The sequence below is a fragment of the Homo sapiens genome, chromosome 15 (genome assembly GCF_000001405.40).
Source record: "Homo sapiens chromosome 15, GRCh38.p14 Primary Assembly".
NCBI lineage: Eukaryota > Metazoa > Chordata > Mammalia > Primates > Hominidae > Homo > Homo sapiens.
Window position 1 is genome coordinate 62,827,499 of NC_000015.10, and position 26,331 is coordinate 62,853,829.

Consider the following 26,331-nt stretch of genomic DNA (forward strand, 5'->3'; position numbering starts at 1 on the left):
GGCAGCGAAGACTCCACAGTCACATAGTCAAAGTACAGAACAGTGACTACCACCCGGATTGTCCCACTCCTGGTTGGGTGCTGAGAGAGGAGCTGGTGCCCATCTATGCTGTTTGGTACCTGACGCTTACTGATTTGTGGGTTTTACTTATAATGAATTTAGGCTGTAATCAGAAATAGCAAGAAGAATTTTTATTGGAATTATGGATACATAACAGGGTTTAGACAGAGAAACAGATTAATTTAGCCCCAAACCTGAAAAAAACAATTTTTGATAATGAAATTGCTAATAGTTTTTGAGCATCTCCTATGAGTCAGCCATGCTTTACATATACTAATCACGTGCTTGTAATGACTCCATCAGATAGGTTAGGAGGGGAAGTAGGCTTAGAAGATGAATGAATTAGTGTGAAGACCATGTTCTCAGAATCCATGAAAGGCCAAATGTCAAAAGAAACATGAGGAAAGGCTGTCCCTTTTACCTTCTCCACTTTCCACACCACTTCCCCTACCACCACCATTTCCTCTTCCAGGGGACATATAGCTACTGAAACTTTAAACCCATCAGAGCAACATAAAGGGGTCCCAAATACTCTCCCAACTGGGAAACAGGGGAAGGGAGCCAACCCAATATATAGCCTTTCCCAAGAGGGATCTCACCAGACCACTGACTTTTTAAAGGGTGAGCAAGGAAGGTCAGCATGCAGGGAAGAGGTCAACTACAGGGTACTCAGACCTTTCTAGAAGCTACCAAAAAGCCCAGGTAGGGATAAATCTGTCCTCAGCAAGAGTTGGCCAGACAGCCCAGGAAAGACGATTGCTTAGAGCTGATGGGCACCTGGCCAAATAGCCTTTTCAAATGAAGGGGAAGGGGGAAAAGAACAGTATATCAAAGGAGAAGTTAATTCAGCATGCAGAGGCAGCAACAAACACCTTCATTAGGCAGAGTAGAAGCTTAGTTTGTACATCTGTTCACTCTTTTTCCCAGTGCTGTCTTGTTACATAAGAGTGCCTCTTGGTAAAATGCCACTGTGTTTACATTTGTATGTCCATGCATGACTAAATGTCACAAACTGTGAATTCCAGTTGAAGGCTGCAAGTAGAGTGTACAATTAACAACTCAAGGCCTCAAACAGGGCAGGAACTTGCTCATAGCTGTGTATGCATCTGTCCACCAGGGCTCAGGAGTGGATGCTAATGATGTGGATGCTTACTCTGTGTATTTCTCCTTCTCCTACCTTGTGCGTTGTGCTCTGGCTGAACTCTGGAACTTGGGAAATGCATTTTGAATGGATATATTCATTCAGCAAATGTTGATCATCACATGGGCTCCTCTGCCTGATTTTGTGCTAGAGAAACATAGGTTGAATAAAACACAGTCTCACCCTGGAGGGGATCACAGGCTGGTAGGTTTAAGTTAAATGGTGTTTGTTTTCCTGAGTCCAGGCCAGCATTTCCTACAGAGTAGTGTGTAACCACCTCTGTAAGAAATACAGATTCCTGACTCCCACCCCAGACCTACCAAAACAGCATCTGCATCTTTAACCAGATCCTCAGGTGATTCTGCAGTGAGGGCTATCCATTTATTTATTTATTTATTTATTTTTCTTTAAAATTTTTTTCTGTTTGGTTTTTGAGGGTACATAGTAGGTATATATATATAATATATATTATATTATATATATATAATACATGAGATGTGTTGTTACAGGCATTGTATTAGCTTGTTCTCACACAACTAATATAGACATACCCAGGACTGGGTGATACATAAAGAAAAGGTTTAATTGACTCACAGTTCCACATGGCTGGGGAGGCCTCACAATCATGGCGGAAAGCGAAGGGGAAGCAAGATACATCTTATATGGCGGCAGGCAAGCGGGCTTGTGTAGGGGAACTCCCCTTTATAAAACCAACAGATCTCATGAAACTTACTCACTATCACGAGAACAGCACAGGAAAGACCTGCCCCCATGATTCAGTTACCTCCCACCAGGTCCCTCCCATGACATGTGGGGATTATGGGAGCTACAATTCAAGATGAGATTTGGGTGGGGACACAGCCAAACAATATCAGGCATGCAATGTGAAATAAGCACATCATGGAGAATGGGGTATCCATCCTCTCAAGCATTTATCCTTTGTGTTACAAACAATCCAATTACACTGTTCTAATTATTTTAAAATGTACAATTAAGTTATTGACCATAGTCACCCTGTTGTGCTGTCACATGTAGTAGGTCTTATTCTATTTTTTTGTACCCATGAACCATCCCTACCTCCCAGCCCCTCACTACCCTTCCCAGCCTCTGGGAGCCATCCTTCTACTCTCTATGTCCATGAGTTCAATTGTTTTGATTTCTGGATCCCACAAATAAGTGGGAACATACAATGTTTGTCTTTCTGTGCCTGGCTTATTTCACTTAACATAAGGATCTCCAGTTCTAGCCATGTGGTTGCAAATGGCAGGATCTCACTCTTTTTTATGGCTAAAGACTATCAATTTATCCTGTTTAATGAAATTGTTTTCTAAAGTTCCTTGCTTTAGCTTGATGCCAGTAGTTATAGAGAAACATAAATAGCCACATGCACAGGATTAGTCATAATCTTTAAAAGATTATTTTAGCGGGTCTTTACATGATCCAATTGTGGAAAGAATGAAACACCCAGAAGCGAGGATTCCGTTATCCCCTTTATAAACCAGAAGGAGAGATCTGACTGACCCTGGTCAGGTCAGTAACATCTCAGCTAAAGAGGGCCTTAAGACACCAACCAGGTGAGCCTCTCTGGTGAGAAGGTGAGAATGAGAGCTCCAGGAGAGGGCCCAGCCTGCAGATTCTTCCCCGGAGTCACTGTGCACCATGTTGTTCTTCTTAGTCTCCCCAGTCTCTCAGCTGCAGTGGGGACTGTTCCATTAACAAATTCTGCATTTTAATTGGGATTCTTTTATTTAGGAAAGTCCTTTGAAGACCAAGCCAATTCTGTTTCCTTCTTGTGATATGGTTAAGTGTGTGTCCTTCCTACCTTCTCCCCTATTCCATTCTGCATGCTAATGGGAGCTGGAACTGATGGGGCACCTGGGTTTTTGACCATGTCTCCTTGGCTTGGAGAGATGCCATTTTCTCTAAGGCTAGAAGTTGTATGGTATGAGGACACGTTAAGTATTGGTGTCTGATTTCAGCAGTAGAGGTAGGGTGGGCAGTGCGTCTTAGTCATAAACCTGGCATACAGGAAAATAGGGACACAGCAGTCAGAAGGCAGGTTTCATCAGGGTACTCTGCCCAAACTGTAGTATCTAACATTAGCCCTCCATCCCTGTGCCATCCCAGTCAGCCTTTCTAGGGAGAATCTTAATACTTTCTTATCAGAGCAAATGTCTCCCAGAGATAAGAACTTCTGCCGTATCTGTTTTAAAGCATAGAGATGTTGTGGGAAGAAAAATAAAAATTCGTCAAAGAACATTACAACAGTTGCCATTACCAGAAAAATCTGTGGGTGTCAAAAATATTTCCAAGTTGAATATCTATTATTACAAGCTTGTGTTTAAAAAAAAAAAAAACTCCAGGCAGCGGAAGATGTGGGAGAGGCTCGTAAAATCAGTTGTGATGAGATGATCCTATCAGATCTACCCCTGCTAAAGACGTAGCACTTAATTTTAAAGAAATTCCATTTTTGAAAATCTTAAAATTTGGGAAATAAAAAGTCTGACAGAGTATTCCACACTGTAAAGTGGACTCGGGCGTGGAACCCATAGAGTAGCTGAGGACACCTGAGGCAAGAGCGTGAGAGACTTCAGGAGCCGCCATGAAGAGCTCCCACAAGCCTCCGTTTCCTCATCTGCAAAATGAGATGAGGAGTTTGGAGTCAAAAATTCTGTGATTTCCCTGGTGCTTTAATCTGTTATGTGCCTGACATTCTTTGGCAGAATGAATTTCCAGAAAAGCTCTTAATCTCACGGTTATTAAAATATACATTATTTATATATTTAATATATATAAATTAGAGCCTACTATAATTTATTTGGGGACTGACTACACAAGAGTTCCTTTTATACGAGAGTGTCTTACAATGGATCATTTCCGTATTTCAGTCACCAAATTCTATACTCCACCAGTCCAAAATGAGTCCAGTAGAACTAAATTCATGTCTGTCCTGAATACTCTTAGAGCAAGACTTGGTCAGCAATAAGAAAGAATGCACAAGTCTGTCTCAGAACTTCTGAAATGCTACCATCATTCAGATCCATTAGAAGTGCATTGAAATTGTATTTTGATAATGTAGGTTATAAAGAAAAAGGATTAGCACCTTTCATGGTTCAAGATGTGGCATTATGAATGGAGAGCTGGAGAAGACTTGTATCCCTCCTGTCTGACGTTTCACATGGGAGCGTTAGCAAGCTGACTTTGAACCTCTGGCACAAACCGTTTCTCACTGATGCCCCAAGGGGTGGCTTTGGCTAGTTAAAGTGCCTCATTTTGGAGTCAGATTTAGGTTTAGATTCTGGTTTAGATGCTTCATGCTGCCACATCACCTTGGCCCAATCATCTACCTTCCTGAGCCTGGGTTTTCTCACTGTAAAAATAAGGATAAAGATAATTCCAATATACGATCTTTTTTTTTTTTTTTGGTGAGAATTAAGTCATTGTATGTAGAAGTGCCTAACAAAATACTTGGTACACAGTAGGCACTCTTAAAAATCTACTACTGTTGGCACAAAGTGTGAATGTCCGTAATGCCACTGAATTGTACACTTAAAATTGGATAAAAGGGTAAGTTTTGTGTTACATATATTTTACCACACATACAGAGAAAAGTATTGCTGGGCCTGGCCATCATCTCTCAATGCCTGAAAGGTACCACCCACATCTTCAACACTGTGTGACCTGAGGGCAGCTTAACCAAATTGACCTAGAGTCACGGAATGTTGTCACACAGGTCTAATCTGACCACCCCCCGGCAAAACTGTGATGCTCCAACCCATGAGCCTGGGACCACAGTCTTTATACTTGTTCCACTTCTCCAAAGCTTCTTTTCAACTTCCTGAGTTGTTTTAGCAGCAAAGGAGATGGTGGTGAATTTAGACCAGAACCCTAATGGTCTGATAACACCTACACAGTGGTGTCCAGTGTTCTTCCCAAGGTGGATCCCGTGCCTCGGGTGTCCAGAGGACAGAACAAGCTCCACCTTGATGTCGTGTTGCCCTGGTTTCTTTTTCACCACTGGGCAATGTGTGCTTGGTCTATAACTCTCTCAGTGCTCAGCCACAGAAATGCCAGTGCTGTTTGGCTTTGATTTTTACCCAGGAAAAAGACAACTTTTCAGAACTGGTAGCCATCTTTCCTTTTTTTTTTTTTAAAGTCCATTTTTGAGGCTTAGGCTCTAGAAGAGAGTAAGTGCTATGATCTACTGTTTTGATTTTATTATTTTGGTTTCAGTTATTGATGTTGCTAAAACCATTTGAGTGTATTTTGTTCACAGTGAGTGTATATCTTTAAAGATTTTGTTCCAGAAAATGAGTCTGTCTGCAAATTTCCGTGGGATGTCAAGCTAACGGCTTTTTCCTTTTGGAGTTAGGGGGAAGGGGCTGCAGGTGGAGAGGCATCCTGACCTTTCTATCCTGGTATTGCTGTTGTACAACAGTGTCAGTGTATTAATACTTAACATTAGGTAAAAGGGTAAATTTTGTGTTATATATATTGTACCACACATACAAAGAAAACTATTGCTGTGCCTGGCCATTGTCTCTTAATGCCTGAAAGGTACCAGCCACATCTTCCACACTGTGACCCGAGGGTGGCTTAACCAAACTGACTTAAGAGTCCTGAAAGTTTGCACAGGGGACCTGTCATCTGCTTCTTGTTAAGGAACCATCCCATTTCAGGTGTGGTTTGTCAACAAAAAACAATAGGCAGGTGAAGAGCCAGGTGACCCGGCAGTAAGTAGTTTGGAAGAAAGAGCCCTTTGTGGATATGAATTGAATGTGATGCTGTTTTCTTTTGGTTATAGCAAGCGGATGAGACCCTGGACTTTGAGGAACAGATCTTGGAAGCTGCTAAATCCATTGCTGCTGCCACAAGCGCCCTGGTCAAATCGGCCTCAGCAGCCCAGAGGGAGCTGGTGGCCCAAGGAAAGGTGGGTAAAGCCGCTGACCACATGCGGGACACTCAACGTACGAGAGCCTCAGGGGGCCCAGGAAAAGAGCTACAAGCTTTTGTCCTGACCAAGGAAACACATGCAGTGCCTTCCCTCCCTGAATTGCCACTCTCTGTGCTGACCGACTGAAAACTACAGCCTTCAGACCAACAGAATAAGAGGTTTGGCTTCTGGGCCTCTCATCTGCTTCTTGTTAAGGAAAGCATCCCATTCCAGGCAGTGACTGGGGCCTGAACGAGATATTTATATTCCCACTGTACATTAGGCTACGTAAAGATGTAAACTGTCATATTTTCCTGGTGGGCCGCTCTAGAAGCACCGCATTCGGCGGCTTTTATGATACCACTTTCCAGCTCCAAAGGGTTCCGTTTGTTTTTAGGACTGTCGAGCTGAATACTGGCCAGCTTCGCAGTTAGCACTTTCCTAAGTCTGCTGGTGAATGGGCCAGTCAGATTTTAAATCTGAAATTTCTTCAGCTTTATCTCTAGTCACCCATTCCATCTACTTTGGCATAAAAGTATAGTGTTTTTTGTTTTTTTTGAGGATTCAAAGGATTATTAGTACATTAGTAATTCTGGATATGGAACAGTCTTCCGATTTAACATGTTCCATATGTCTTGTTATTTACATACACATGGAAGCATGCTATCCACGACTGGCTTTCAGAGAGCCTCTCAAATGGAGAGGCGCCACAGAAACCTGACCGTTCGTGGGTTTGGGAAATGTGGTCACCATCATTGTCATTCATTTCTGTTTGATATTAAAAGGACTTTGCTGTCAGTGTACAGATAGGTAGAGGTGAGTTGTGTCTTGACCCAAGAACTCGCAGTACAGACAGGGAGGTTGTGCCTCACCATAGGCTGTACATCTTCTTCCAGGAAGTCTTTTGTGAGCTTAGCCATGGCTTAAGTCCAGTCCACATACCTTGAATTCTCTTTCTAAACCATTGTGTTGTAGGTTATTCAGTATTGGTCCATGTCCGTCTCCCCACCTGGCACACAAGCTGTTCTCTCCATCCTTCCCGTTGATCCCCTGTAGAGCCAGCGGAATGCCAACCTTGTCCGTCCTGTACTCAGCAAGTTCTTGTTGGCTGGTCAACATGTAAAGATGACAGATGTGTCATTGAACGGAATATCCTATGTTTAAAAAAAAAATCCTGGTTATTTCAACATTGATAAAGGGCTATGTGTCCAACACATTGCTTAGATACTAGAGAATCCAACTTGGACATGGCAGAGTCCCTATCTGTCCTCCAACGAACTTACGTGTTCAAGCATTTAAAAAATTGGTGAAGGAGGTTCAGCCAGACTTGGGTGAACTATAGTATTATAGGCAGGACCTTGGAGTTTTACCTGACATTCAGCAATCCCTGATGTGGCCCTTTTATTGCTGACACACCCCCAATTTCATATTCAAATTGAGATACTCTTACCTCACCAGGCACGTCCCACAAGCTTCAAGGTATTTCCTCCTGTGGCTTCTCCCTCTGGATGTGGACAGAAAATGTTCTACTTGTTGCCATGATTTCTAAATAGAAACAGAGATCCATATTTCTCTCCCACCCCTGACAAATGGTATTTCCTTAAGACAAGGGTCTGCACTCAATTGTACCAGAGGGAGTTCCACCACACTTTTTTAACATCATCTGCCAGAAACGCAGTGTGGTTTTCAGGGTCAGTAATCGGGAGAGATTTAAATTTCTCTTAGCCCTTGAAAAGAGGAGGCCTAGTGGCTCCCACATATGAAATGGAGAAAGCTCAGCAGAGGAGTAAGTGTAGAAAGACAGCCCCAGGTCATCATTCCTGAGCCGTTTCCCAGAATTGCAGTACCTGGAAGCTAAGTGGAGCCATTCTTAGCATTTCCTGTCGCCTCTTGGTGGCGAAACCTGCCAGGATGTGCTGTGCAATCTTTCTTGGCATGGCCTGAGTCCCACGTGAGAAAGGTTGCTCCATTCTCAGGCCTGTGCTGTTGGCAGGAGGCACCAAGCGGGGTACAAGTCTGGTTCCCGAGCAAGGTCTGGGGATGAGGGGCTGCGACCACTGGGGCTGCCTGCCCTCATGGCCAATTTCTCGACTCTACTCTCTAGGTGGGCTCCATCCCTGCCAATGCTGCAGACGACGGACAGTGGTCACAGGGGCTGATTTCTGCTGTGAGTTGCCTTCTCCTTCCTCCCAGTTTGCTTTTGGGGTCCCCTGAGGGAGGTTTGGGCCTTGGGTCACTTCTCCGTTGACTGTCCCCAGGCCCGGATGGTGGCGGCTGCGACCAGCAGTCTCTGTGAGGCGGCCAATGCCTCCGTTCAGGGACACGCCAGCGAGGAGAAGCTCATCTCATCTGCCAAGCAGGTCGCCGCTTCCACGGCTCAGCTGCTGGTGGCCTGCAAGGTGAAGGCCGACCAGGATTCAGAGGCCATGAGGCGGCTACAGGTAATGGTCACTGATGCTGGTGGGAAAATACTCCTGTTGGAGCGGGTAAGTGTCACCAGAGGGGACAAGCCTCACTTCCTTGGCATGACCCACCAGGCCTTCCATCAGCCAGCCCTGTCCACGTTCCAGCCTCATCTACTGCGTGCGTCCATGCATCCTCCACTGCTGCCCCACCACGCTGCCATTCTCCTCGTGTGCCTTCTGGTCTCATGCCCTGGGGCCCTGCTCCTCGCCAGCCCAACCCAGCAGACCCCTACTTGTCCTTTGTGACTCATCTGGGAAGCCCTCCCTGACTCCCAGGGTTTGGGCAGTTTATCCCTCCTCTGTGCTTTGAGAGCCCCTAGCCAGACCACTCAGGTTCCCATCACATGGTGCTACTGTAGGTCTGTCTGTGAGCAGGTTGTGAGCCTCTTAGATGCAGGCACCACATCTTCATCTGTGCCTCTCTCATACGTTACTAACTCGGTGCCTGCTTCAGAGGAGGCCTTCAGCCAGTGTCTGCTACAGAAGGGAGTAAAATGACTGAAATTCTATGAGACTGTTGCTGTTTCCCAGAGCCCAGAGAACATGTTAGGAAGGTAACAATCAAGTCCTTCTCAGAGCAGATACATTTTCCTGATTGCTTTAATTATAAAAATATTTTAAATACAATAAAAGAAATGCTTAAATGAAAAAAATCACACAGCCCCAACATCTTCATATAGCAAACGTTATCATTGCTTTCTGTTCGTTTTTATCTACATATAAAATAATTTTGTCCAGTTGTAATCATGGCGAGATACATTCTGCTTTCTTTTCACTTAACATTTTATCATATGTAATTTTTCCTTGAAGATAAGGCTTCATTAACTTCTCTATGCAAAGCTAGCTGGCCCATTCTTCATGAGTTCCATTTTTAATGATTGCATGATATTACATCAACTGATTATGCCAGAATTTCCCTATACTTTGGACATTTTGTTTCCAATTTTCGAGATTTTTTTATTGTAAGTGTTAAAATGTAGATTGTCTGTATTGCTAAAAGTATGTTTACATCAGTCATGTAGCAAATCATAAATGGCAGAAATCTCAGAATTCTTGTTGTATTGTGAAAGGCCTAAAGTGCATTTCCATTTTTTGGCCCTCTTGAGTCCCTCTCTGACCCACACCTCCCTCACCTTTATTTGATACCTGGGATAAACCCAGGGAAAAATTGAGGAGCTGCATGTTCGTTTGTGAATATGTGATTTCTGGGTCTGGGGGACACTTCTGAGGAAAACATCCTGAGTTAAGAGAGACCTGGTTCAAGTCCTGCTTCTGCCATTTATTAGGTGCATAATCTTATATAAATCACTCAAAACTTTTCAGGGGTTTCATCTGTAAAATGGGGATAGAGCCATCCACACTGACTCTTATGAGGGTCAAATAGGAGAATGCATATGACAGTGCTTTGTTAGGTCCTAAGGATTTACACAGATAGAATGCAGCATCACTCTTGTTCCCATCATTACCGATTTAACTGGATGTTGCAATGTTTTATTTGAGCCCCTTATAAATGACTCAGGAGTTCCCTGGGGCTAGATGGACCTATGTGCAGATCCCAGCTGTATAACCTGCTAGCTACAAAATGTTAGGTTTCTTAACCTTGGTTTCACATCAGAAAAGTGGGCTAAAGATTTCTGACCTCATAAACCCTTTGGCAAATAAGCACATGGTGATTACTTGTCAAATATTAATTGGTTCGCGTCCCACCCTGTGCAAGCCCTCATAGTTTGCATTGGTCACTTTAGTTCACAGACCAGATGGGGCAGTTAACTTTGAATGAGAAGAACTCTCAACTTTCTGATGGCGAACCCTCAAGCACAAGCCTTCGACTCTGAGGGGGCGCTGGACAAGAAATAAGAGAGGTTTAATGAAGCCTTAACCACTTTTAGAAGAAAATTCCAAACCTCAGCTGGCATGTCCCTGGGGACATGTTTCATGAGCATTAAAAATAAGCCAATACAGGCAATAGCCCTTAAGGAAGATCTAAGGAAAAATGAAAAGCTCTTCTTTACCTGTCTCTAGCAGTCACTCCATCTTAGAGCCTGTGGTGCTGAGACCCTAAAAGTACGAGCAAAAGGCCGTAGTTACTATGAGGCTCCCAGCCCTTCCACAGAGGGGTAGCCCTTCATTCCCTCAAAGCCTTCAGTGAGCACCAACCATGGACAGCCACATTGCCGCTGCTAGGGATGCAGGGATTCCGGTCACTGCCCCTGCCTTCAAGTTGCTGACTGTCCAGGAGGGAACAGCCAGCCACAAGCGTGGTAAAGGCTGCAGTGAAGCCGGCACAGCACACTCCAGGCACACAGAGGGAGAGGGTATGGGTAGAGCTAAGGGAGACAAGCGAAAGTGATGTCTGCGCCAAGTCCTCAAGTATGTGCTAAATCAGATGGAGGCAGGCGAGGTGGTTTTCCAGACCAAGGAGGCAGAACTCCGGCATGCCTCTGTTAACACACACATCACATTGCTGGGATCATTTATTAAATATTTACATAATTGTAATTCCCCTCAAAAATGAGTATTCCTTGGGGGTAACAGGCACTTTGTCTCATTCATCTGTGAGTGACCAGGTAGGTTCCAGTGTTGGCAGAATCCACGGATGGATGGACAGACAGATGGGTACTCTCTGGCTACAGAACTTGATGTTATAATTGGATAATCAATTGACTCATGGTCTCACAAACTGTACCTTCATGTCTATTCTTGCCAGGCCCAAATGGCTGTTTCTAATGATATAATGTATGTTTTGTTCACTCTCCAGGCGGCAGGAAATGCTGTGAAAAGAGCCTCAGACAATCTTGTCCGTGCAGCCCAGAAGGCAGCTTTTGGCAAAGCTGATGACGACGATGTTGTAGTGAAAACCAAGTTTGTGGGGGGCATTGCTCAGGTTTGTAATTAAATCAAGAATAGTATTTACTTCCCGAGAGAGGTGTTGGGTTATAACAGAGACAAAAGAATAGTGACTTCAAGATGAAAGTTTATTTCTTCCTCGTGTACCAGAGATGGTGTGGTGTTTCCTTCATGTCTGAGAGCCAGATCCATCTGCCTTTCTATTTCACCATCCCTGAGATGTTACCCTTGGCCACGTGGTCCACGTTGGTTCAGTAGCCCCCTCAACTTTCCATGTGGCAGGAAGAGGGAAAGGAGGGGAGGCCATGACCGTAAGCTGCAGGCATTACGTCCTCTCACATACCATTGGTCAGCACTTAATAATGTGCCCAACCCAGCTGCATGGGAGGCTGGACAATGTAGTATATATTTTTTGTGAGTAGCATTTGCCTAGATAAAAATCAAGGATTCTATTGTAGAAAGGAAGAAGAGCAAAAATGGAGGACAGCAACATTATTTAAATAAAATGATGCATTTGGAGGTACTGCCCACTGCAGACATTTGGCCCTACAGAGAATGCTTTCCCTCTCCCAGAACTTTTATAAGAGCAGGTGGGATTCTGACTTACGCAGGATTGCATTCTCACGCATGGGAGTGAGGAGAAAGCTCTAGGAAGTCAGGCTTAAACTTTCTGATGTGTCTCCATCTCGTAAATCCATTTTAGGGGACTGTTTTATTTATCCGCATCAGGAGCACTGAAGTTATTCATTCCCCATGTCTGCCTTAGCTCTTCCTGAACCACGCCCTGTGTTTGGCTATGCACTGCATGTATTTTTACCAGAATGTGTTTCTCCATGCGCTAATTTCATGAGAAGTTTCACAGAGAAGGGGCTCTGATCAAATAACACTGGAGAATACTGCATTCAATAACCCTGCCCTGGTAATAATGATAGTCGGTAGCCTAGTCAAGGCTCTGGAAAGCCAGGAAAGGAACTGACTTTGCTTTTTTGAACACAACTTTCCCTTTCCACACAATACCTATCAGCAAGTCTTCCTCAGATCACACCTTGAAAGCGTGAAATAAGCATTTGAGGGCCATCTGGTGGTCCAGGGCTCCGCTTTAGCCTTGCCCATACCTGGACCGGGTCTTCCTCCACTGGCTGGGTGACTCCAGACAGTGGACCTACATTGCTCAGCTTCAGATTTCTTCTTGGAAAAACAAGACTTTCAACAGGGCATGCTTCACAGGGCAGCCCCTTCAGTGAAGGGACTGTCTACGTGGAGTGTTTGCACCAGAGCCTGGTACATAGTAAGGCTGCAAGAGATGTTTGCTGTTCAATCACAGGCCAGAACCAGCGTGTTTTCATGGCTCAGCTGGGTCATTAGTCTCAAAACCCAAACAGTGACAGAGGCTGGTCGCCAGAGCTAAGAAAGCTGTTCCGGATGTGCTGCAGTGTCCCACGGTCGCGGGAGCCGTGGAGCTCACATGAGCAGTGGGGTGGGTCGGAGGGTTTTCTACAAAGTGTTAGGTCCATCCAGCTTGTTGCTTTCTTTCTAGATCATCGCCGCCCAGGAAGAAATGCTAAAGAAAGAGCGAGAACTGGAAGAAGCAAGGAAAAAACTGGCCCAAATCCGCCAGCAGCAGTATAAGTTTTTACCCACCGAGCTGAGGGAAGATGAGGGCTAAAGGTGCGAGCCCAGATGGCGAGCCCCAGGGGATGGCCCTGGCTGAACTGGACAGACAGTGTTCCTGAGAGGCTGGGCACTTAGCTGGAAACCGCCCACCTCCCTCCCGGGTGAGCCTGGAGCCCTGCGTGCTTGTTCTCACATCTCTGTCCCGTCGGCACTGGCTGCATGATCGTGATGTCACACGGTACAATGTCCTACCCACAACTCCTCTGCCGCCTCCCCTCATGCCTCACCGTGTCTCAGGAGAGAGGGGTGCACGTTTCATGGACTGTTACCAACAAAGAAAAGTCAGTATTATGTTGTTCTCAGACACTTTGGCTTTTGTTGGTCCTTCTCTTAGGCCTGCTCCTGGACCTCTTTATGATATTGTGATAGGGAAAAAAATCATTGACGTCATAGAATATTCTTCTTCCTCTCAGGAGAAGACGGAAGCTGGAGTTGGACATGGTTCATAAAAGCCAGAAACACAAACCCGTGTGGACTCCGGGAGGGTGACTCAGGTCCTCCTTCCATGTCTTGAGCACTGGCTCACCCAGGGGGTGAAAAATTCCCGCCCCTGTTTGCACGCTTTCTTGCCTCCGTGTGTAAGCTCCTTGTACAACCCAGACCCATCTTGTATTTTGTGGCCCAGAAAACTGAACGATTATTTTGTTCCTCCGTAGTCCAAAGGGCAGAGTTGCGGAAGGCCGTCGGGGCTTGGTGAGCAGGGGCTGTAATACAGTCTGTGGGCTCCTTACCCTGCAGAGGCTGTTTCAGCTCACACAGAGTCATCCACACAAACCCACGGCTCCCAGTTGACAGTCAGTGGAATGCTCGTCTCCTTAGCGTCCAGGGTGGGGATTCTGCTGGAATAAAGAGCTTCCTCAGTGACTCATCTTTAGGTCCCACGCTGGTTTCTGTGCCTTCAGAATGGTCACAAGCCCGGATTGGAAAGGATCTGCTTACAAACCTGTCCCCTGTCCTCCAACCCAAAACGCCTTTTTTTCTGTCTTAATATCCAGAAAATCTAAATGCATCCTAAAATCAATGTGAACCTTTAACAAGATAGTTTTACTTATTATCACATAAGACATAAGATGTTTTCATTTTCTGGATGTCACACTTCCAGAATTTCATATTTTTCCCCTCTTTTCTTTCCCCTTTTCAGAGCCCTCCCATAGGAAGGGAAGGGCTTGAATTTACCCTTAATCTGCACCTTTAGCCAAGGCAGTGCATGGAAGATGAATGGCTCGTGGGACAGAATCTAATGCCAGGGAGCAGGAGTGTTTGAAAGAATTCATAGTGGGGAAGGTAAAAGTTAATGGAAGTACATGATTTTCAAAACTGGTAACAGTTAAAGGCACTCACCCTCCGCCTCTCTCTCTCTCTCTCTCTCTGGTGTGCTATCATGTCTTGGACTCCATCCACACTATAGTTTCAAAGTTCCACTGACGGGGGAAAGTTGGTGCTTTGGTCCTCCGAAGATGTCACCTTTCGACCTTGCCCGATCTTGTTTCACCAGACTCTAGCCCATGTCATGGTTTTAAAATACATAAACTTCTGACAGCTTCCCATATTTATAAGTTACTTATAAGTGCTGCACGTATTAGAATTTTTTTTTTTCAGACCAGTAAAGTTAGAGAAAAGACGCTGTAAAGGAAAAGCAAGTGAGAGTATGTGTAGGACACTGACAGTGTGTGGGCACCAGTTCTGAAGAGGAGGGGAGCTGCTGGAGCCCTAGCCTGTTGGGGAAAAGCTGGCACACTCTTGGCTCGCCCTCTTTGAGTGGAGCTGATCCAACACCTCATGCCTGCCTTGGCCGGACACTGAGAGGAGGGGCACACGTGCTTCCAGAGACACTCAGGAGTCAGACCCCAATGCTCAGAGTCACAATGTGTTCATGGCCTCCTGTAACAGGACTCTGGGGATCCCCTCTGTGGCCCAGCCCACCCCACCCTCTGCTCTTCTATGCTGTGCCCAGGGCAGCTGCCCTCTTCTGCCTGTGCCCCATCCCATCCTGAAAACCCAGGACCAAGGCAGGGGCAGGCAGCCAGTTCTTCCACCTTGCCTCAGAGTCATTTAAAACCTTTACTGCATTTGATACCAGAAAAGCCTCCAGAGACAAACCAAATGCAAAGGCCTTTCCTTTATAACTCTAAAGAACAGGCATCGAAAGTTTATTTTTGTAGGAGCTATATAAATACTCACCTTTCTGGAGTCGTCCAGTGCTGGGAGCTTTGGGGAGTTTGGTTCTCAGTTATCACCTGGTATGGTCCCAGTTTCTCATCTGTCCTTTCCTCATCCACCCTGCACATGTGTATGTGAACGGCTTCGTGGCCGGTGTGGTGGTTTCTCATTTCATAAGATAGTTGAAGGGCCATGCCTTGTCTGGATGTTATTTAATAGGCACTACTGCGGTGTCCTCAGATGGTACTGAGGGGGCCTTCTGGTCCTTCAAAGGAAAATAACACAGGCATGAGTTCATTTGGGAGTGTGAACTTTCAGAACACCTAATAAGAGAGTGGTGTCAGAGTAAAAACGGCCCCAGGTCTGGAGCATAGAAGTGTATCTCTGTGAAGAGAGAGCCGGTGTGTTGACATGTGGTTCTTCTCACACCCCTCTACTCCTCGAGGGCTTTGAATCCTTGGGCTGATTTTTGTGCCAGAAATTGCTGTTCCCGATGGCCAAAAGGGGAACCTGAACTGGATTTCAGAACTGCCCAGTGATTTGAAAATTTAGATTTTACTTGGGCCTTTCAGGAGTCTTTAGATAGGGATGCTGAGGTCATATTTAGTTCAATGAACAGCCCTTGTTTAAGTTTTGCCAGTGTCCAGCCAGCTGTGGCCCTGGCCATCTGTGCAGGCAGGTTCCTCAATTCCTGGTTGGCCCTGCAGTCGGTCAACACAGTCCCTCCAGGTCGGCTGCAGAGGCAGCTGCCCAGCCTGCAGTCTATGCACGGGCCTTAAGAAATGAGCTGCCTGTAGCCTCACGGCATATGCTTTTATCAGGGAAAACCCTTCGAGCTTCTTCTGATTCTCACCTGCTTGCTTTCTGGCTGTCTTAGTCAGTGTGTTTACAGGCAACTAAAGCCTGTTCCTAATTTATCAAAAAATTATAACCAAAATTCACCATAGCCTAAGAGAGTAAACCCCACCTCCAAAGTGATGCCAAGGCCAAAACCTCATCAAGGAACCAGACACAGGTCAAAAGTGGTGAGCAAGCCATGGTCTCTGCTCCTGGGGAACTCACACGCTGACCCCCGAGGAGCCTTGGTTTCCTCCCTGGCAGATAGTCCCCAGAATCTTCTCTCCCAGCTTTGAGGTTCTGGGCTCTGGAAAGGCCTCTGGGATGCTGGCCTTAAGATCTCAGCACAGACTATCAGCATGTTCCATTCTCAGATTCCTGGAGGAAAGGTACCCTCTGTTGACCAAGGGGCTGGCTGCTTCTGAGACTTACCAACCCAAGAAATTTGGAGACATTCCCCTCAGGCTAAAAGGCAGCGGTCCCCAGAGTTCAGAAAGCAAAAGATCTTGACAACTGTGCCAGTAGTGGCTCTGGTCCTATCTCTCCACAGTGCTGGCCTCTGCTGGGGAAGGCATCTTTCCCAAAGGTATCCCCAAGTACCATGTTGAAAATGTCCTCAGTCTGTTGCTCCATCTTTCTGAGCCTCTGCTTGGTATGTCATGTTTATGGTCACTACGGATGAGTGTGTGCAGAGTTTGGGTTGATTCTTTTAAATGCTACAAACAAGAGCTATTTCTTTTCAATAAAAAAGGTTTGGATTCGGCCTCTTCCTCTGAGCCCACCTCCCAGCCCTCCAGGGAGCATCAGTGTACCTGAGTCACTTTGTCTGCATCTCTTCATCCCACAAAACACGAGGCTGGGTCTCATTCAGCGGCCTCTCACCAACCTTCAAGATCCAGAAGAAAACAGGAACGTTCAGCTCTGCCCTGTGTCGTATCTAATCACATACATTAATTTATCTAACCACATAAGTTATTTTTTTTTATTTGCCAGAAATAAACCTTTAAAGGAACAAACCTGTGTGGAGGACTCATGGGAATGGGAGGAAGATGGAAAAGAAGGGGGAAGAGACTGTCTTTATCATGAGAGTAAAATTCCACCTTGAGGACTAGCTCCATAGTTACCAGAGGTATGTCAGGAGAGAGCACGTGTGTGTGAGTGAGTGACAGACGCAGAGCCACAGGGTGCCACAGAATTTCATGTAGCTTTGCTGACAAGAGTTAACTTGGAGAAACTCCAGGAGCAGGCGTCCTGGACAAGTAGCTAGGGGGCTTTTTGGCTTTACATACCGCCTCTGTCAGAAGACCGCACAGCTGAATACAGAAGTGCATATGGGATCATCTCCAATCTTGACCCAGGTCCTGGCACAGGAAGGTTAGGTTCACTTCTGACAGCTGAGGCCACAACTGCAACCCCCGGAGACTGCCAGGCCCTCCTTCCTGTTTGGACTGGGAATTGCTGGGGGCCAGAAGTCCTTGTTTGTGGCGGGGCAGCCAGACTTAGAAAAGTGTGAGGCATTTCTAATCTGCAAGAGGGGGTGTCAAAGAATCACCATCGCAACGAAGAGAGTCACTGGTATGTCTAACAACCAATAAGAAAGATTTTTTTTCACGCTTGAAAGGATGATTTAGGATCTCTAAGCCAGTTGATAATGAAGGTTTTTATATCTTTGATTAACAAGAACAACAAAAATGAGATTGGAGCTGACCACACCCAAAATGAATGTGGGAAGCCTGAGCCGACCAGGAAGGGGTGAGAGGACTGACTGACTTAATGAGCCTCCTGGGTGTCAGCTCGGTGCTGCTGGACACCCAGAGCCCAGCCCTCCGCAGCTGTGGGGAAGGTGGTGTGGCCATTTTGCAGAGCGGCAAACCAAGACTCATGCAGAAGTGGTGTCTGCAGGAGTTCAGATCCTCTGCACACGCAGCTCAATCAGGCTGACCCATCAACTACGACCTTAACTTAGAAGTGCCCCAGCCCCTGCTGTGTGTAGGACTCTGGGGACCCGAGCCTAATTCCTGGAGGAGGTCACAGTCCAGGGAGGGCAAACATTGACCCAAGGGTGTGGGAGTAAAGGGCAGAGCCCTGAAGCTGGGAAGGATTTCCAAGAGGAGGACATTTGGCCCGACTCCTAATAAATAGGAGTTCCCCAGCAGAGAAGGGATGGGGGTGGCACTCCAGGCTGCAGGAACCGCACTTAGGTAGGCCTGGGTTTCTGAAGAGGCAGTTGCTTAAGGAGGTGAACAATTCCCTGAGGCCGGCAAGGAGGCAGCCAGGAGCACACCGTGAGGGGCCTTGTGTCAGGGAGGGCACTTCAGGTCCAGTCATAAGATGAATCACTCTGCAGGAGATCAGGAGAGAGATTCTGTGCAGGGAAAATGCATGATGGAAACAGGAGATGCACTAACAAAGGTCAGCAACTGGAGAATGAATTCGGTTCCAAGGTAAAAAAAATTCAAAGCAGGGTGAGCTGGGCCACAGAGCTGCCCAGTGGGAGATGCTGTAGTGGGAGGGGCTGCTGCCAGAGGTAGGATGGGGGAGCCGCGTTCCATCTCTAAGTTAGCTAACACCTACCCTACACCTACCACGTGCCAGACACGCACCATTATCACCTTTATTTAATCCTCACAACTATACCCTGTACAACGCATGGGTGCTCTTATCTCCATTTTATAGCCAGCAAGGCTGAGGCACAGAGAGGTTAGGTAACTTGCCCAAGGCCACACAGCTAGCAGAACGGGGATCTCCCAACCACTATGTTAAGATCACCCAGCTAGTGAGTGGCAAAGCAAGGATTGAAATTCCAATTTGTTTCCAAAGCTTTTTTTTTTTTTTTAAATCAAGAGCATAGGGAGAACCTCAGTCAGACCTGGCTAGTGGGATAGATATTAAGCAGGCAGACACAGGGAGAGGGAGCTGGGGGCAGACGGAACTGTGTGCATATGGCAGAACCTGGGATGTGCTGGGGGCTCCTGGGCGAGTAGGGAAAGAGACCATAGGGGCTGGTGGGGGCTGCAGGAGAGGCCAAGTCTGCACATGTCTGGTGAGGGGAAGAAGAAGACATTCTGAGACCACTGAGTGAGCCCGTGCTACCGAGCTTGTTCTGTATCATGCAGTCACAGAGAGCCTTGCTTTACTTTATTCCCACTGAGTGTCTCCAAAACCCTGTTTTCAGACCACAGCTCTATCCTGGGTTTAAAACCACAGCGTTCACAGGTAGTTCTGTGGTTCCGAGATACTCCACCAGGCATTTTTATCTGAACACCTTCCACCCCAAGCAGAGCACAATTGCAGGAGTTCTGCTGCCTGAACTCCCCAAGGGGAGAAGCCCCAGCCCAGACCCTCTATGGCCAGGCTGACCTGGGGGTGGTGGGCGGAAAACCCTGCCTGTGTGGGCTGGCACCTAGGAGGGGCAGTAACAGCCTGAGCTCTTGCGGCCATATTCAGAGCCTCCTGCCTGTTTGGGCCTCTCTCAGGATAATCTGCAGCTTATTTTCAGAAAGAGAAGTTTAATTCCCTTAAGCTCACAACTAAATGTTGGAGAAATGCTTTCTGGACTCATCAGAAGGCTGACCATGTTCCACATGGGGTCCAAGACTTGGGGTAGCCCAGGGTGAGAAGGGGCCCAGAGGGAGGCCCTCAGTCCCATGCGCCCAGCACCCTGGTGTTGCAGAGGCATTTGGAAAAGCAGGAAGGGAGAGGTGCTTAGAGGCTCCGGGGCAGAGATGGGCTGGTGTCCTCTCAGCTCCCTGACTCTATGGGCATGAGAGGAGATGGAAGGAGAAGGCAAGGCACGGTTCTTCCCTCCAGAGATCTCAGACCACCCTGGAGAAGCCCGTCTCCTGCAAGGAGAAATGAGAGCAATGCCAAGTTATCCAGTGTGGTGGGAGGCCAGCAGGACTCCAGCCTCAGGGCGGGTCCTTGGGAGGGTAGGACTGAGGAGGAGGTGGGCTGGAGTAGATTCTCAAAGGATGGGAAGTAGCCTGGGCTACTGAACAGAGCAGAGAGAACATTTAGGGTGTTAGGCATGCAGGCAGGAAGGAGGGATACGGGGAGAGGACCATGCAAGGCCTAAACCTGGAGGGACAGGTAGGGACAAAGGCTGTCTGGCAGGGCCTGCACTCCTTGGAATCAGGGCTCCGTTCCAAAGGAATAAGGGGCCAGGGAAGCAGGGGAAGACATGACAAACCTTTCAGGCTGGCTGCCACTCTGCCTCAGTGCTACATTCTCCAATGTCTGCAAGCTCATCATCAGCTCACCTGATGGATCGGGGCATTTTGCTTGGCTACCAGCAAGCCACATAACAGTCCTGTTCCCTGGTTTGCATCCTAGAGGCACCTATGTTTGCTGATTCGATGGATCCTGACAGAGCAGTTTGCCAATCACGGAGCTTCCTGGGTTGCGTGGAGGAAAGCCCTCTGCACCCAAGTTTGCAGTCCTTGCTGTTCTGCATCCCAGGTGGTTCTGACCACAGGGGGCAGTGTGGTTCCATAGGACACCGATAGATCGGGTAGCCCTGTTTCCTGGAGAGAAAAAGGAGGTGTTTCATGGGTAAATAAGTATCAGAAATCAGGCTATGAAAGGTAAATAGGTTAATAATTTAATAAGTCTCTATGAGACTTCTTGGAGCCTTTAAGATACTCATATGCACTGGATATCTCCAAAAGGAGCCTATAATATATGGGGTTGCCCCAATTTGGAGGCCCTTGGAGCAGTTTTTAATTTCAGTATATTTTGAGGGACAGATATTCCAAAGATCACACCTTGGGAAACACTGCTCCCAAATCCTATTGCAATTACTGTCTCTCCTCCCCTCTTAGCATGTCACATATCCCGTCTAGTGTTACTAGGTAGTATTTCGCCTGTGCAGCAGCCTCATCTAGGTCGGAGGCAGGGATCTCATGCAGCCTCCCTAGCACCCAAAACCAAGCCTTGGACATGTGAGATATTTAATAAAGATTGATTGCCTGGGAGAAAACTTCAGACCATGCAGTTTGTAACTCGTGTTTATGACCTGCTTGGTGTCAGCTGCTTTGAACTCTGGCTGATTTGAGCTTGAACAAACTAAAAAAGCCTGTTCCCAAACACCTACCACCCACCACAGCTGTCTTCTTCCTCCTCCCCACCTCCCCGTGGCCTTGCCATGCCACAGGGCAACATTATTGCCTAAGACTAAAATAGTTTCTCTGAAAATCGCTTTCCTAGGGTTTCCTTCCTGAAACAGCTGCAAGGAAACACAACTTGATCCTAAATATCCTGCCACCTCCTGGTAACTCTCCCCATTGTCCAGCAAAATCCAGAAGACAGGCTCCAGCTCAAAAGGAGTCGTTTGTTTGTTGAGACAGAGTCTTGCTCTGTTGCCCAGGCTGGAGTGCAATGGCGCGATCCTGCCTCACTGCAACCTCTGCCTCCCAGGTTCAAGCAATTCTCCTGCCTCAGCTTCCAGAGTTGCTGGGATTACAGGCACCCGCCACCACAGCCAGTTAATTTTTGTATTTTAGTAGAGACGGGGTGTTGTCATGTTGCCCAGGCTGGTCTCAAACTCTTGACCTCAAGCGATCCACCCACCTCAGCCTCCCAAAGTGCTGGGATTACAGGTGTGAGCCATCATGCCCCGCCAAAGGGAGTTGTTACTGAAATATTGAGAGGACCTTGGACGGTGTGAGCCAATCCCTACACAACGGTGCCCCTGGTCTGAATGCCAGTGGGATGTGAGGACCATCTGAAAAAGAAGGGAAAGGTAGAGGGGAAAGGGTACTTTAAGAAGCAGAGTTTCCTCCTGCAGCTGCATGCTCCAAAAGGGCACTTGAAATTCAACTCCCTAATCCTTCCTTCCCTTTTCTTGCCTCATGTAGTACAATGAAGTGAAAAGAACCTACAAGGGCTTTGAACGTCAGAGAGACATGGCTCTGAGCAAGTCTTAGCTTTCACGCCTGTTGATAGACAGTGTACTTGACTTCCCAGCATCTACTCCCCTCTGCCTATGGAGTCCAGCAATATTTGGGGGGAGTTGGCCTCAAGTCAAGGATAATACCATTCCCCCTGCTAGTGACTGGTTCTGGAATGGACATATAACCTGATTCTGGCCAAGGAGATAAGAGAAAATATCTGCTGGAGATAAGAGGAAACACATTCTTGACAGTTTACTGAGTGGATAATATGTATTTCTCTTTCCTACTCCCAGATTCCAAATTCCCTGCTTTTTTGGCCCACCTCACCACAAAAGCTCCATAGTTTATTCATCTAAGTTTGCATGGATGCTTCTTTGGGGGAACTGCAGGAGTTCATGGAAGAGTTTCAGAAAGGAATGAGAATGCCTCAGGAGTTGTTCTGTGATGGAAATTGGCCTGTTGTTCTGTTAATGCTGCTAGAAACTTACAGCGCTTAATAAAAATCTATTCTTTTAGTAAAAAAAAAAAAAAATTATTCCCTTTTCTTTCATAGCTACATGAAAGCAATCTTGAAAATGTGACCAATGAAAACGGTGTTATCCTTGACTTGAGGCCAAGTCCCCAAAATATTGCTGCACTCCACAAGGCAGAGGGGAGTCGATGTTGGGAAGTCAAGCACAATGTCTATCATATATCCCCAACAGGCTCTCTCTTCCCTATCAGTAGTGAATGAAAAAGCCACTTTCTGACCACAATCAGCACCAGCCTCATCGTGGAGCCTCCCGCAAGGATGGTGGAATGAAGGCAATCGAAGAATCTGTATCTTTGGTGGCAGTGTCGATCGGTTTGTCTAACCTAATTCTTCCAGGCTTCCCAATCACTAACCAGATACACTTCTGCCACATTTAAGCCAGACAGAGTTGGGCTTGCAGCCAAGGTGCCCTAACTAATGCCAGGTAGCAGTCGCATGGGAAAAGGCCAACAAGCATTTGACCACATACTAGGCATGCAGCGAAATTTTGTTCCGTTTTCCTTCACACCTACATGAAAGCAATCTTGAAAATGTGACCAATGAAAACCCCACTGCGTCCACTTTCAAGAGTTAACTGAGCACTCGTGCCCCTAACGTGGTGCCAGACTCACAGTAGGTCTTCAACAAATGTTTACTTTTTGATGCATCTCTAGAGTGTGATGTTGGTAACACCCGGATTCCAGTATATGGCTTACTTGATGGGTATGGAAAAGGATAGCAGACTTATTACAGACAGCAGCCATCCCAGTCCTGTTTCTAGACTCTGGGATGAGCGGTCGGGGCACAGGTCTCCCCACCCCTAGTCTCCATCCCTGCGCTCTGAGAAGCTAGAGAAGTCTGTGGCCAATCACCTACACAGCAAACCATGTGAGGAATGTCTGGTATTTGGGTATGTGGTATGGTATGGGTTTGTTTTTCCTGTTCATCATCACTTAGGATGGAAATCTTTAACTATTTTGACTGGAGGCATGAGCGTGGAGCTCAGGACCCCAGGGATTGGAAGGTGGGGGAGGGCACAGGACAGTCCTGGTCTTTTTTCTGCTCCTGGGACTAAATGGCACCATCCCTGACCTGGTGTGTTGTGCTCAGTCTCTGACTTTTCCCTGTGGCCCCACAAAAGCGTTGATTTCGAAGCAGCAGTAGCAGCAGGGGGAAGACATTTCCTCGGGCAGGGAATCACTGAAAGCTACAGAGACGAGTCTGGCAGGAAGGAGACTCAGCCCCTGCATGGCGGGGCTGGTTGTCCTTTGTGCTCAGTGTCTAGCTCCTAAGTTCCGCACAGGGGACAGAATCTGGGCTGAAATCTGAGACTTAGGTTCTGGTTCTGGCTGGGTGATCTTGGGCAAATTTCTTTATTTCTTGGAAACTTTTTGTTTTTATGTATTAACAGGCCTTTTGCCATGACTCTGAGTCTGGATGGTGAATATCCTTGATCTTTGGCAGCTACCAATTCTTTGAGAATAAATTATATACTAGGTGCTCTACTGGGTGTTTTATGAATATCGTTATTTTCCTCATCACAGATAACATTTATTAAGTGCTTACAATATTCCAGTCGACTACAGTTCCAAGGGCTATTTAAATACTGAGGTAGGGTCTAACCCCATTTTATTTTTTATTTTTTATTTTTATTTCTTTGAGACAGAGTCTTGCTCTGTTGCCCAGGCTGGAGTGCAGTGGCGCGATCTCGGCTTACTGCAAGCTCCGCCTCCCGGGTTCACGCAATTCTCCTGCCTCAGCCTCCCGAGTAGCTGGGACCACAAGCACCCGCCACCCCACCCAGCTAATGTTTTTGTATTTTTAGTAGAGATGGGGTTTCACCATGTTAGCCAGGATGGTCTCGATCTCCTGACCTCGTGATTCGCCCGCCTCGGCCTCCCAAAGTGCTGGGATTACAGGCATGAGCCACCATGCCCAGCAACCCCATTTTATAAATGAGGAAATGGAAGCACAATAAAATCAAATGCAACTAGAAAATTTTGTGCAACTAGGAAACAACAGATCCAAGAAGCAAACCCTGGCAGCCTGGCTCAGAATTTGTATCCTCGACCACTGTCTTCTATTATTATTTGTTATTTAATTTTTATATAACAACATTATATAAATGGAGCATTATATCCACTTTATGGCTGAGGATACTAAAACTGAGAGACATCTTACAAGTCAGCCAATATGACACAGCTTTTAAAAGGTGGAGCCAAGAGCTAAACCGAGCTGTGCTATCCAAAGGTTTCCACCACCCCGGGCCACCTCTTTACAGATCAATACACCCACAGAGAGAAGACTCCAGACTCCAGGGTGACCACTGCAGCTTGGTGGATTTGATCTTGGAGGTCTCCATTTTTGTAGGCATGATGAGGATGTCAAAGTCTATTTTTCAAAAGTTAAAAAAACATGGCTCATACAAATATACAGTGAGCATGTGTCAAAGATTTAACTCACTAATCAAAGAACCAGCACAATGACAAGGTTCATTTAAAAATATGTAGAATATTCATCATCACTGAGAAAAAAGAATACTGCAATTAAGATTCCTAAATTAGTTATGAAGTTAATTATCCTATCAGGCAGCAAAACTATAACCTTTGGGGTTGTCATCTATCCTATCGGAGAAAATTACAGCACTTCTATTCAAGAATCCAATGAGTCTCTTATAACTGAACATCTACCTGGGGTAATGTAATATCCTCATCAATAGAAAATAGATCAAAACAAAGGAATATATCCCTAGAGAATGGCAGAAGCCTCGAAAGGATCTGTGAGTGAATTCCAAGTAAGTGCGGGGTGTTCTTTCTAAACACAGGGCACTGAGCCAGTGCCCAGCCATGGCATTGTAAGCTAGAGAAGCACGATGTCTAGATGAGAAGACCAACAACAAGGTTCAAAGGGGGTGCCACCATTTTGTGTGCTTGTGCTATGCTCTCTGAGCCACAGCTTTATTTTCTGTAAGAAAGAAGATTCTGTTTTTTAATTGGGAGAACAATTCTCTCTCTTCAACCTCACAGAATTTTTGCCAGGATCAGCCAAGAGTGGACATAATAGGACTGGGTCAGTGATTGCTCTGGCTTCTGATATAAGGGAACAACCATTGGCCTCAGCCCCTGGAGGCCCCTTAACCCCTTAATGGAAAACTGTTTTTTTCCTTTTTTTTTTTTTTCTTTTTTGGAGACAGAGTCTAGCTCTGTTGCCCAGGCTGGAGTGCAGTGGCACAATCACAGCTCACTGCAGCTCAACCTCCCCAGGCTCAGGTGGTCCTCCCACCTCAGCCTCCGGAGTAGCTGGGACCACAGGCACACACCACCATGCCTGGCTAATTTTTTGGTATTTTTTGTAAAGATAGGGTTTCACTGTGTTGTCCAGGCTGCTCTCAAACTCCTGAGCTCAAGCTATCTGCCTGCCTCGGCCTCCCAAAGTGTTGAGATTACAGGTGTGTGTCACTGCACCTGGCCTGGAAAACTCTTATGTGGCAGGTGAAAAATGTAAAAGCCCTCAGCTTTCTGTGATGTTCTAGCAAACACTGGCACATCCAGAGGAACATGTGCCACTTTCGGGCCAAGCCAGCAAAATGATTACGAAAGTCTTTGAAGACCTAAGTCACATTAATGACTCAGAACTGCTGTGTTTTTGACAATGAAGCTTTGGATGGACACACTGACCCAGTGTCGTCTCACCAACCATCCCAGGGTGAGCTCAGAAGGGGACATATGTCACAGTCTTAATCAGCAATTGGCAAGTTTTTCCTTTAAAGGGCCAGATTGTAAATATTTTAGGCTTAGCAGGCCACATACAGC

The 26,331-nt window shown here is 46.4% G+C and overlaps 1 protein-coding gene and 1 long non-coding RNA gene across 3 annotated transcripts in view, besides 4 other annotated features; one reads left to right on the forward strand and one right to left on the reverse strand.

Moving 5' to 3' along the window:
- TLN2 (talin 2) overlaps window positions 1-17,133 on the forward strand; it is a 454,082-nt gene extending 436,949 nt beyond the window's left edge. For both annotated transcript variants that reach the window (NM_015059.3, NM_001394547.1), the window contains 5 exons: window positions 6,006-6,131; window positions 8,239-8,301; window positions 8,393-8,575; window positions 11,358-11,483; window positions 12,984-17,133. In NM_015059.3, coding sequence (NP_055874.2) covers window positions 6,006-6,131; window positions 8,239-8,301; window positions 8,393-8,575; window positions 11,358-11,483; window positions 12,984-13,112 — 627 coding nt within the window. In that variant the 3' untranslated portion in view covers window positions 13,113-17,133. The remainder of the gene's footprint in view (window positions 1-6,005; window positions 6,132-8,238; window positions 8,302-8,392; window positions 8,576-11,357; window positions 11,484-12,983) is intronic.
- LOC105370854 (uncharacterized) overlaps window positions 1,760-26,331 on the reverse strand; it is a 54,788-nt gene continuing 30,216 nt past the window's right edge. The window contains exons 2-7 of the long non-coding RNA XR_007064671.1: window positions 20,377-20,640; window positions 17,407-17,642; window positions 15,302-17,003; window positions 7,764-10,657; window positions 7,585-7,679; window positions 1,760-7,288 (exon numbers count right to left, since the gene is read on the reverse strand). This is a non-coding gene — a long non-coding RNA (uncharacterized LOC105370854). The remainder of the gene's footprint in view (window positions 7,289-7,584; window positions 7,680-7,763; window positions 10,658-15,301; window positions 17,004-17,406; window positions 17,643-20,376; window positions 20,641-26,331) is intronic.
- Window positions 7,159-8,358: an enhancer, noted in NCBI's record as "CDK7 strongly-dependent group 2 enhancer chr15:63126856-63128055 (GRCh37/hg19 assembly coordinates)". NCBI's record gives its function as "activates an origin of replication core promoter dependent on BRD2, BRD4, P300/CBP, MED14 and CDK7 cofactors, with strong dependence on CDK7, by STARR-seq in HCT116 cells {active_cell/tissue: HCT116}" and the evidence as "EXISTENCE:reporter gene assay evidence [ECO:0000049][PMID:35650434]".
- Window positions 17,888-18,388: an enhancer, noted in NCBI's record as "H3K4me1 hESC enhancer chr15:63137585-63138085 (GRCh37/hg19 assembly coordinates)". NCBI's record gives its function as "activates a minimal SCP1, AML or CMV promoter by ChIP-STARR-seq in naive H9 embryonic stem cells {active_cell/tissue: H9 hESC(naive)}" and the evidence as "EXISTENCE:reporter gene assay evidence [ECO:0000049][PMID:30033119]".
- Window positions 19,070-19,571: an enhancer, noted in NCBI's record as "H3K4me1 hESC enhancer chr15:63138767-63139268 (GRCh37/hg19 assembly coordinates)". NCBI's record gives its function as "activates a minimal SCP1, AML or CMV promoter by ChIP-STARR-seq in naive H9 embryonic stem cells {active_cell/tissue: H9 hESC(naive)}" and the evidence as "EXISTENCE:reporter gene assay evidence [ECO:0000049][PMID:30033119]".
- Window positions 19,572-20,071: an enhancer, noted in NCBI's record as "H3K4me1 hESC enhancer chr15:63139269-63139768 (GRCh37/hg19 assembly coordinates)". NCBI's record gives its function as "activates a minimal SCP1, AML or CMV promoter by ChIP-STARR-seq in naive H9 embryonic stem cells {active_cell/tissue: H9 hESC(naive)}" and the evidence as "EXISTENCE:reporter gene assay evidence [ECO:0000049][PMID:30033119]".